Below are 12590 nucleotides of genomic sequence, written 5' to 3' on the forward strand. Positions count from 1 at the left end.
CACCATGCCCAGCTAGTTTTGTATGTTTTGTAGAGACGGGGTCTTTCCATGTTGCCCAGGCTGGTCTTGAACTCCTGGACTCAAGAGATCCTCCCACCTTGGCCTCCCAAAGTGCTGGGATTACACGTGTGAGCCACTGTGCCCGGCCAGAGGAGTTTTCTTGAAGTGACTCTTTCCCTTATCTAATATTGCACAACAAACTACCCTAAAACATAATAGCACAAAGTAACAAGCTTAAAGAAGACAAAAGAGATATAGAGAGGAACCACTTTATTTGCACACAATTTTGTAATTCGGGCTGGGCTCAGATGGTCAGTTTCTCTGGTCTTGTCAGTGGTCACTCAGGAGGCTGCATCCAGCTGGCACTTAGGCTAGGCCACAGCTGGGATTCTCTCATGTAATCTTTCCATTTGGTCTCTCCAGCAGGATAATCAGACCTTTAATATGTTGGCTCAAGCCTTCCAAGAGCACAAAAATAGAAGCTGCCAGCCTTTCCTAAGGCTTAGGCTTGGAACTGACACAGCATCATATCTGCTGAATTCCACTGGTTAAATCAGTCCACCCAGAGTTCAGGAGAGGGGACTATCACACAAGGGCATGAATACTGGAAGATGGAATTCATCAGGGGCCACCTTGTAACAAGCTATTAGAATGACCTTAGGCAGCAACCTGGAAGATGAGTAAGAGTTAACTGGGCAAAGAGGGAGGAAGAATGTTCCAGGCAGGGCAGTAGTATATGCAAAGCAGTTATGGCAGAGGATCCCCAGGCATTTCTAAGTGACTGAAAGAAAGCCAAGTTTGCTGGAGCACAGAGATCAAGGGAACAGTGGGTACAGGCAGGAAGGGGCCAGACCATGTGGTGCCACCGCATTCTTTAGGAAACTTTCAAATGCAAGTGGTAGAATCCCAATGCAAACCAACTCAAGCAAAAATATAAACAAACCAAAACAAGATAAACAAAAATAAAAAGAGAAAGAGAATTTATGCACTTATATTCCTGGAAAGTCCAGGGCCCAGTGGGTTGACTTCAAGTATGGCTATATCCAGGGCTTCAAATGACATCACCAGGAATTTGTCTCCCTCCATCTCTCTCCCTTTTATTTTTAGATGGAGTCTCATTCTGTCACCCAGGCTGGAGTGCAGTGGTAGTATGATCTTGGCTCACTGCAACCTCTGCCTCCCAAGTTCAAGAGATTCTCCTGCCTCAGCCTCCCGAGTAACTGGGATTATAAGACCCCACCACTACACCCAGCTAATTTTTTTTTTTCTTTTGAGACAGTCTTGCTCTGTTGCCAGGCTGGAGTGCAGTGGCGTGATCTCAGCTCACTGCAATCTCTGCCTCCCGGGTTCAAGCAATTCTCGTGCCTCAGCCTGCCGAGTAGCTGGGACTATACAGGCACCCGCTACCACACCCGGCTAATTTTTGTATTTTCAGTAGAGACGGGGTTTCACCATGTTGGCCAGGATGGTCTCAATCTCCTGACCTTGTGATCTGCCCGCCTGGGCCTCCCAAAGTGCTGGGATTACAGGCATGAGTCACTGCGCCCAGCTAATTTTTGTATTTTTTAGTAGAAACAGAGTTTTGCCATGTTGGCCAGGCTAGTCTCGAACTTCTGACCTCAGGTGATCCACCCGCCTCGGCCTCCCAAAGTGCTGGGATTACAGGTGTGAGCCACCACACCCAGCCTCTTTTATATTTTGAATTTTTTTTTTTTTTTTTTTTTGAGACAGGGTCTCTTTCTGTTGCCCAGGCTGGAGTAGAGTGGCAAGATCACTGCAGCCTCTAACTCCTGGGCTCAAATGACCCACCTCAGCCTCTCGAATAATTGGGACTGCAGGTGCATGCCACCATACCAGACTAATATTTTATTTTTTGTAGAGACAGGGTCTCGTATGCTGCTGAGCCTGGTTTCAACTCCTGAGCTCAAACAATCCTCCCACTTTGGCCTCCCAAAGCACTGGGATTACAGCCATTGAACCACCACACCCGGCAGTCTCACCTTTCTAAAATCCTTTAGAGATTCCCCATTGTCTACAGGAACCCTTCTCCCAGGAGTCCATCACCATCCAGCCCTTGTCTCCCTTCCCAACTTTGTCTTCCCTTCTTCCTCCCATCACTTCCTCACCCCAGTTATACCTCAAAGGCTCCGTGCTCTTCCAGCTTCTAGGCCTTTTAATATACTGCTTCCTTGTCCTGGCATGCCCTTCTCCTTCAGTTTTCCTTTTATCAGTACAGCATAGTAATTGGGTCACACCTTCTTTCAAATCCTGACTCCTCTGTTTGCTAGCCAGGATGTTAAGCAAGTAACTTAACCTCTTGAGCTTTATTTTCCGCTCCTGGAAAATGGAGATAATAACAACCACGACCTCTGAGACCTAATGTAAAGATTGTTTTGTTTTTGAGACAGGGTCTCACTCTGTTGCCCAGGCTGGAGTGCCGTGGCACCATTACAGCTCACTGCAGCCTCAGTCTCCCCAGACTTAGGTGATCATCCCACCTCAGCGTCCCGAGTAGCTGGGACTACAGGCATGCACCACCACACCTGGCTAATTTTTGTACTTTCTTTTTGGAGACTGACTTTCGCCATGTTGCCCAGGGTGGTCTTGAACTCCTAGGCTTGAGGGATCCTCCCGCCTTGGCCTCCCAAAGTGCTGGGATCCAGGCATGAGCCACCACACCCAGCCTAGTATAAAAACTGAATGAGAAAGCAAATGTAAAACCCTTAGTGAAATGCCTGGCATAAAGGAAAGGCCCACTTAATGCCAGCTATCGCTGCACTCAAAATTCAAGTGTCGTGTTAAGTCATTGCTCTCTTGACTTCTATGGTTGGCTGAATGATAGCTCCCCAAAGAGGTTCACATCCTGATCCCTGGAGCCTGTTTATATGTTATTTTACATGGTAAAAGGACTTTGCAGATGTGATTAAGTTATCTTAAGATAGGCGAGTACCCTGGATTATCAAGGTGGGTCTGATGTAATCATAAGGGGTCCTTGTAAAAGGAAGGCAGGAGGTGAAAGAGAGGAGGAGGTGATGTGATGATGGTAGCAGAGGTGGGAGTGATGCAGCCACGTGCCAAAGAATGCCAGCCACTTCTAGAAGCTGGGAGGAAGGATTCTCCCCTGGAGCCTTCAGAAGGAACTGGCTCTGTCAGTGCCTTGATTTTAGCCCTTAAGACTCATTTCTAACTTCTGACCTCCAGAACTGTAAGAGAATAAATTTGTGTTGAATGAAGCCACAAAATTTGTGGTAATTTTTTACAGCAATAATAGAAATGAATATAACTTCCTAGAGATGGGTTGAACCCATAGCATTTACATGCAGATAGATAATTTTTCATTCATTTTTCTCACCCGTTAGGTGTGTGTGTGTTTTTAATTTTTAATTTATTTATTATTTTCTTTTTTAGTACAGAATCATCTGCTCTAAAATTTTTTTAATTTTTTTAATTTTTTTTTTTTTGAGACGGAGTCTCTCTCTGTTGCCCAGGCTGGAGTGCAGTGGTGCAATCACAGCTCACTGCACCCAGTGAACTGCCAAGAACTGCTGCTTCTTATTAATGTTTGAAACCACCTTGACCTCTTGGGTTCAAGGGATCTTTCTGCCTCAGCCTCCTGAGTAGCTGGGACTACAGGCATGTGCCACCACGCCTGGCTGATTTTTGTATTTTTTGTAGAAACAGGGTCTAGCCATGTTGCTCAGGCTGGTCTCGAACTCCAGGGCTCAAATGGTCCTCCTACCTCAGCCTCCCAAAGTTCGGGGATTACAGACGTGAGCTACCACGCCCAGCCAGGCTGTGTGTTAAGAGCTGCTGCTCTTTTTTGTTTTTTTAACTCCCCTCCTTTTTTTTTTTTTTTTTTTTTTTTTTGACAGGATCTCCTTCTAGACCCCAGGCTGGAGTGCAGTGGCATGATCTCAGCTCACTGCAACCTCTGCCTCCCAGGTTCAAGCAATCTTCCTGTCTCAGCCTCCTGAATAGCTGGGACTACAGGCATGTGCCACCATGCCTGGCTAATTTTTGTAATTTTTTGTAGAGACAGGGTCTCACTATGGTACCCAGGCTGGTCCTGAATTCCTGAGCTCAATCAATCCCCCCACCTTGACCTCCCAAAGCTCTGGGATTACAGGTGTGAGCTACCATGCCCCACCAAGAGCTGTTGCTTTTTATTAATATTTGAAACCACCTCCTATTTCCACCTCCACATACCTAGCACAATGCCTGGCATCTTCTCAAACTCCAATAAATATTTAATGAAGGTAAGTTTATGATCTCAAGTGTGATTTCTGTTTGGATTCGGTTCATGTAAAAAAGGAGGAACCAGCCGTGAATTCTCAAATAAGTTTCAGTCTGTGGCAAGCACAGATCTGGGAGATGCATCAAGGGAAACAACTGAAAACTTGTCTGGAGATTATTGTAAAAAAAAGAGAGAGAGAGAAGTGACTACAACTGAAAGAGTACCTGGCCCTGGAATCTTTTATATGATGAAAATTTTATGGGGTTCTAGTCTCTGCTTCTTGAAGATACAGTGGAGCTAGAAAAGATCCAGAGGACACCAAAGATGATTAAGGGCAGAAGGAATCATGTATGCTGGTAAAAATAAAAAAGATGCCATTGCAAAAAAGTTCATCTTAAACTCACAAAGAATAGCGTAATTTTCTCAAATCCTGAAAAAAATTGAAATAGGCAACATTCCTTGAAGCCTGACTGTCCTTCCAACAAAAATAAAAGAAGTAGCTCTATGTATAGCATGTACTAAAATATAGAATCCATTACTCCAAGAGGCGGTGGCTACAGAAAATAAACACTACAAGATAGGGCTGGGTTCAGGGTCAAGCCAGCCAGGCAGTTGCCCCAGGTGCCTCACATAGGCACAAATCATTTGCAAATAAATAATAATGTGGTGTTTGTTAACTCACATTTCCACATACAGCTTCTTACAGTTTACATCAGGAAAATTTACCTGGCACTGTTGAAACAAACGGTGCCTGTGAGTAGAATTTAAAGAAAAGAGGCCAGGCACGGTGGTTCATGCCTGTAATCTCAGCACTTTGGGAGGCTGAGGTGGGCGGATCACCTGAGGTCAGGAGTTCGAGACCAGCCTGGCCAACATGGTGAAACCCGGTCTCTACTAAAAATACAAAAATTAGCCGGGTGTGATGGTGGGTGTTTATAATCCCAGCTATTCAGGAGGCTGAGACGGGAGAATTGCTTGAACCCGGGAGGCAAAGCTGAGATCGCGCCATTGTACTCCAGCCTGGGCGGCAAGAACAAAACTCCATCTCAAAAAACAACAACGAAAAAAAGAATTTAAAGAAAAGGAAAGCAAAAATCTCATCATGTGAATTCATCTGCTTTGGAATGTTTTTGAATTGTACATATAAGCAGCCTCATCTACTAAACCTCTGGATTCAACAGTGAATGGATGGCTTTGGTGCTGTTTACTGGAAGAAGGAAGTGATTTATTTTCTTAACTTCATTTTAATCTCTTTAATACACTTTACAAAAAATTATCTTGTTCCAGACAAAATCACAAAAGGAAACTAGAAAGAGAACAAGAACCACAGAGAAATGGGAATTATTGTGCAAGTTTTTTTTTCAGATCATTAAACTTTACATTGGCTAGTGGAAGTAAGGGAGCAAATTAATCTTAAGTAAATAATTGTATCAATAATATGTAATTTAATACACTTTGCATTTAGAAATGTTGAACAACTACTTAAGATTCCTTAAATATTATTATTTTGAGGGGCTCCCATTCTGGGGAGCTGAGTTTCTCCATTATATCTTAATTGCTTAGGAAAGAGTTGTGAAAGTCCATACCAAGTTATAAATGGCAATTTAGACTTTAGTTTTAAGATAGCTTGGGATAATAATCCTTGAGCAAACCAACTCACCAGGTTATGAATGAAGGAGCTAGAGGGTATGAAAGTTCTTTAAAACTCGTCACTGCTGCGCTAATATACTTTAGGCCCCCGCCTGCTCCAGCCCTCCTGCCCCTGCTGTGTTGATTATGATATTGCTTGGCTGTCCAGGTCTAGAAACAGAAAAACTGTCCTGCTCTATTAAAATGAGCCTTCTCACTGGCCAGTTGGGAAATGGTCCCTAGAGCTGGCATGCCTGGTGTGTGAGCCACCCAGCTCCCATCATGCCTGATTCTCCAGAAGGGCGCATCTCTTATGCCAGGTGTTCTGCAGCCCTGAGATGCAAGGACTAGAGCCTAGCCTTGAATTCTGGACAGGCTGTCAAAATCAGCTGTGCCAACCCTTGCACTGGGTTCTGACTCAGCAGACCCCTTCCCCTGAAACTGACCCTATTTCTAATCATCTCTCTTACGCATTAGGTCCTCCTATTTCAATACCTTGGGAAGCCCCAAAGAAAGCAGAGAAACAGGATTCCTGGCTCCAAGTTGTCTCCTTCCTCCAGATGCAGAAGCTTGCATTATCGACTTTAGTCATCCTGCTCGTCTTTTCAGATTGCTCTACCCAATGCCTGCCAGACCCTTGCTCTTACCTACCCCTCCCCTCCCCAGTCCTTGGGGATTTCCAACATAGTACTCACCCAGGGTTCTGCTTTTTACTATAAATTTTATAGTATATATAAACAGTATATATATATACATACTACTTTTAGTATATTTTAAATATATTACCATACACACATGTATCTTTAACCTCAAAAATTGCACTATGGGCTATATTATGAATACGGGTTAAACTACTTTTTGATGTAGTTTAAATGAAACAGCAATTGCCTCTCATACATTAACCCATAGTGCAATTTTCAAAAGACAAAGCATGTGGTGGGAATGTGAAATGGTTCAGTCACTTGGGAAAACAGTTTGGTAGTTCCTCACGATGTTAAACATAGCGTTAACATGACCAAGCAATTTCATTCCTAGGTATATGCTCAAAAGAAACAAGAACATACGTCCACACAAAAACTTGTACACAAATGTTCACAGCAGCATTATTCATAATAGCCAAAAATGGAAATATCCCAAATGCCCATTAATTGATCAATGGACAAACAAAATGTGGTATATTCCTACAATGGAATGTTATATCCATACAATATAATATATAGCCATCCAGTGGAATCCATAATCCATACAGTGGAATGTTATGTAAAAAGAATAAAGTGCTGATACATGCTAAACCATCATTGAACCTTGAAAACATTATGCTAAGTGAACAAAACCAGCCACAAAAAAACACCTATTAGCTGGGCACAGTGGCTATGCACCTGTAATCCCTGCAACTTGGAAGGCCAAGGCAGAAAGATCTCTTGAGTACAGAAGTTTGAGTCAAGCCTGGGCAACATAGGGAAACCTGCATCTCTAAAACAAACAAATAAACTTTTAAAACAATGCATACTGTATGATTCTACTTATATGAAATTTCCAGGAAAAAATCTATAGAGACAGTTTCATCATTGTCTGAGGGGTGGGAGTGATGGATAAGAAGTGACTGTTTCTTTTGGGGGTGATGAAAATGTTCTAAAATTAGATTGTGGGGATGGTTGCACACCTCTGTGAATATACTAAAAACATCTGAGTTGCACAGTTTAAATGAATAAGTTATATAGTTTGTGAATTATATCTCAACAAAGCTGTTTAATAAAAAGATGTTTTGTTTATGCCTAACAAAAATTGTGTTTATGTTTTTCTTATACATGGCATTTAAAGAAGATATTTTTTCAAAGTTTGGGCCAGGCGAGGTGGCTCATGCCTGTAATCCCAGCACTTTGGGAGGCTGAGGCGAGTGGATTGCCTGAGGTCAGGAGTTCGAGACCAGCCTGGCCAACATGGTAAAACTCTGTCTCTACTAAAAGAAAAAAAAAAAAAATTAGCCAGGCCCGGTGGTGCCTGCCTGTAATCCCATTTCCTAGGGAGGCTGGGCCTGGAGAATCACTTGAACCCAGGAGGCAGAGGTTGCAGTGAGCCAAGATCGGGCCACCTTACTCCAGCCTGGGTGACAGAGTGAGACTCTGTCTCAAAAAAAAAAAAACAAAAAGTTTGATTACACAAGAAATAATTCCTTCTCATTATTTAAAAAATCAAATGTTACATATAAAGTTAAATTCTCCTTTGATAAGCAAGTCTAATCCTTTACCCTCCCCCCAAAATGAGTAGCTCTTCATTCTTCCAGGCTGTTTCCTTATAGAAATATATATTTTTTGTTTTTATGTATGGATTTTATTTGTGTTTTTTATTTTTATTTTATCATACTGTATTTTATTTCATATCTTGCTTTTTTCACACTTGAGAGCTTTCCATGCCAGTCCATACAGGTATGTCTTATTCTTTTTTTTTCTTTCTTTTGAGACAGAGTCTCGCTCTGTCACCCAGGCTGGAATGCAGTGGCGTGATCTCGGCTCACTGCAACCTCTGCTTCCCAGGTTCAAGCAATTCTCCTGCCTCAGCCTCCTGAGTAGCTAGGACTACAGGCATGCACCACCACTCCTGGCTAGTTTTTCTATTTTTAGTAGAGACGGGGTTTCACCGTGTTGGCCAGGCTGGTCTTGAACTCCTGACCTCGTGATTCGCCCACCTCAGCCTCCCAAAGTGTTGGGATTACAGGCATGAACCACCGCACCCGGCCTTTTTTTTTTTTTTTTAGACGAAGTTTCGCCCTTGTTGCCCAGGCTGGAGGGGGCAGTGGCACGATCTTGGCTCACTGCAACCTCCGCCTCCTGGGTTCAAGCAATTCTCCTGCCTCAACCTCCCGAGTAGCTGGAATTACAGGCACCCACCACTATGCCTGGATACGTTTTGTATTTTTAGTAGAGACGGGGTTTCACCATGTTGTCCAGGCTGGTCTTGAACTCCTGACCTCTGGTGATCCGCCTGCCTCGGCCTCCCAAATTGCTGGGATTACAGGCGTGAGCCACCGTGCCCGGCCAGGTATGCCTTATTCTTTTAAATTGTAGTAGAGTATTCCATAGCATGGATAGACTCTAGTTTACTTAGCATTCTCTTATTGATGGGTATTTAGGTTGCTTTCACTTTCTCATTTTGCAACCAATGCAGAGATAAATATCCTTGTACATGTCTCTTTGGGCATAAGTCTGAACATTTCTCCATACTAAACACTGAGAAGTAGGATAGCTGGGTCATATCCTAGATCTATTTTAATTTTACAAGTACTGCCAAGTTGCTGTAGAAGTGCCTGTAACAGTTTATTCTCCCTCTGGCGGTGAATGAGGCTACCCATTTCCTGTACCTTGACATGTGTGTGGATATATGTATATCTGTGGATTCTTATTTGCATAATTGCTAATAAAATTGAACATCTTTTTTTTTTTTTTGAAAGAGTCTTGCTCTGTCACCCAGGTTGGAGTGCAGTGGTACGATCTCAGCTCACTGCAACCTCCACCTCCCAGGTTCAAGTGATTCTCTTGCCTCAGCCTCCTGAGTAGCTGGAATTACAGGCGCACACCACCACGCCCAGCTAATTTTTGTATTTTTAGGAGAGACGGGGTTTCACCATGTTAGCCAGGCTGGTCTCAAACTCCTGACCACAAGTGATCTGCTTGCCTTAGCCTCCCAAAGTGCTGGGATTACAGGCATGAGCCACTGCACCTGGCCTGGACATCTATTTATAGAATTACATTTTCATATAGTTTGTCCCTTTTTTTTCTATGTAGTGTTTGCCTTTTTTAATCGTTAGTAGTCTTTCTATGTATTTTATGTGATAAATATCTATGTAAATATCTATATCCACATATACCTACATATAAAATATTTCTTACCTACTCATTACTTTACGGTTTTTCCTTTTTGTGTTTTATTTAAGGCTTTCTCTAACTCCAAGATCACAAACATAGGATCTTAGTGTGAGGTAGGAATTTTATTTTATTTTATTTTCCAAATGACTAGACAATTATCTTGATGCTATTTATTGAATACTTCATCTTTTCTCTGCTGTTTTGAAATACTTTTTTAGAATAGTAAATTCCCATATAAATGGCAAATCTTCAGATCCACTTACATAGAAGTGGATCTGAAACCAAGAGAAGGAGGAAGTCCATGAGGAGAGAATTGGAATTGGTTCCCTGAACTGTCTACCCATGGGAATTTCCAGCACAGGAAAGCAGGGGACTTTCTAAAGCATCAGACAAATAAACTGGCAGCTCCATGCCCTAATAACGTTAAATAATTGAACAATTGTTTATATCATTTTGCCTTTTTCTTTCCAAAACCTGTAAAACAATGTTATCTGCTTTGGCACAGCAAATTAAGGTGAAATTATACAAAGTGAAAATCAGCTATGTGTCAAGTATAGGCCTGTACTAAGGAAGCAGGGCTGCTACAAATGTAATTATAAGATCCTAGACTCGCCGGGTGTGGTGGCTCACACCTGTAATCCCAGCACTTTGGGAGGCCGAAGCGGGTGGATCATGAGGTCAAGAAATCGAGACCATCCTAGCCAACATGGTGAAACCTCGCCTCTACTAAAAATACAAAAAAGCCGGGCGTGGTGGCGGGTGCCTGTAGTCCCAGCTACTCGGGAGGCTGAGGCAGGAGAATCCCTTGAACCAGGGAGGTGGAGGTTGCAGTGAGTTGAGATCACGCCACTGCACTCCAGCCTGGGTGACAGAGCAAGACTCCTGTCTCAAAAAAAAAATTCCTAGAATTTAATTTTCCCTCTTCAATTTATTCCCCGTATTGTAGTCAGAATGATTTTTTGGCAACATGCCAATCTGACCAGGTGTGGTGGCTCACACCTGTAATCCCAGTACTTGAATCACTTGAACCTGGGAGGCAGAGTTTGTGGTGAGCCCAGAATGTGCCACTGCACTCCAGCGTGGACAACAGAAAAAGACTGCCTCAAAAAAAAAAAAAAAAATATATATATATATGAGTGGCATGATCAGACTGTTGTTTAAGAAAGATAATGGCAGCAGAATTTTGGAGGTAAATGACAGAGAAGTAAATTGAACGACAGGGAGACCTGCTGTGAGGTTATTATAAAGATGCCAATAAGACATGATGGAAGCCGGAACTAAAGCCTCGGGGAGGGCATAGAGAGGAGGGCCAGACTGCAGAGACACAGAGAGGTTGAGTCTACTGGATCTTGCTGACACTCTTAGCTTGGGCAATGAGGGAAGTCAAGAGGGAAGCGTTAAGAATGACTCAAGTTTCTGGCAAGGGCAACTGGGTGTCTGTAATGAAGAAGAGAAATAGACATTTCATGTATTAGGCTGTAAGAGAAGCCCTCTGTTTTGACTGATGACGTAAATGAGGGCTTTCCACTTTCTGAAAAACTGAACTCTTCTGATGCAATGAGACAACCTCCACATCATAGTCAGCCATGGTCCGTTGGGTTCAACTCAGTCCCAATGCCCTGACACCCTCGTTACCTGATCTGATCCTACTGCCCCAACCTAATGGAACTGAAAACAGTGGTGTCAACAAACTAAACTGCCCACCAACTGTGACATATTCAAAGCCTGCATAAGCTTGCTCTGTGAATGGAGAACACATTCTAAAAGGATCCCAAAAGAAAATAAAGCCTTTTCTGTCTTCCCAGGGAGGTTTTAGGCTAAGGAAACAAAATAAACACCACACGAAATAGTGGGCAAAGGTACAAGAGAGTTTAAGGTTAAATGCTAAATTATGAAGCAAATTCCAATCAGAGGACAGTGATGGTATTGTTACTCTAGAACAGCCAGGAAAGATAATCATCTGTGTTGACCATCTACTGCCAAACCACCATCCGTAAGTCACACAGTTGGTAAGTGGCAGAGCCAGTGCGTGAAGTTGGGAGAGACTGTCTCAGATCTTCAGGAAGGCGAAATGTGAGCTGAGACAGGAAGGTGCCCGGTGTCCAGCCTGGATGGGCTGGGAGTGCAGCTGGGAGCTTGGAGCATCCTGGGAGGAGAAGCAGAGCAACAGGACTGGCACGTGATATTAATCATCCCGGAATGGAGGCCTTCTGACTGGAGACTTGCAGTGTACCTACCACTGCTGGGTGTTTTCAGCATTTCAGTTTGGCAATAAACATAAAAAGTCTAGTAACACAGGCGTAAGCCTGGAATGTTCAGTGACTGGTCACTGTCAGGAATAATTATTACAAAAGAGCAGCTGAGAAGACATGACTCAGCACGCCCCACCTCAGAACACTCCGGTCCCACCTAAGGGCTTTCCAAAGTCCGCAGGAACCAGGCCAGCTGAGTATTCACATAGCCGCTCTGTTCAAGTCACACTCCAGATCCGTAGTGTTATTGGTGAGAACAATGACTAACTAGCAGGATGATTTACATGCATGCGAGTTCCAACTTGGCCTTTTTCCTGTCAGCAAAATTTACTACTATCTTCTAGCTGTCTTCCTACGTCAGGACTAAAAATGGTTACACTCCTAGCAGTAGAGCATATCCAGCCAACTGACAAGCAAAGAAAGATTAAGGACAAGTACATAGACAACATGGGGTGGACTTTATCAGAAAGGACAAGGCAGATACAGTGCTGGCCAAGGAGTGTTGCAAGTAAGGAATTTCCTGGAGCCTTATGCAAACTCCAGTAATCCCAGGCAATGATGCAGTTTCACTTCTGTTTCATATTAACGAGTACTAGAAACACATAATGAGTG

At 43.2% G+C, this 12590-nt stretch overlaps 1 annotated feature.

The window, feature by feature from the left end:
• Window positions 11756–12590: a transcriptional cis regulatory region, noted in NCBI's record as "candidate enhancer chr6.3824 targeted for multiplex CRISPR interference". NCBI's record gives its function as "positively regulates PNRC1 gene expression in K562 cells {active_cell/tissue: K562}" and the evidence as "EXISTENCE:mutant phenotype evidence [ECO:0000015][PMID:30612741]".

Source organism: Homo sapiens, chromosome 6, assembly GCF_000001405.40.
Source record: "Homo sapiens chromosome 6, GRCh38.p14 Primary Assembly".
Classification (NCBI taxonomy): Eukaryota; Metazoa; Chordata; class Mammalia; order Primates; family Hominidae; genus Homo; species Homo sapiens.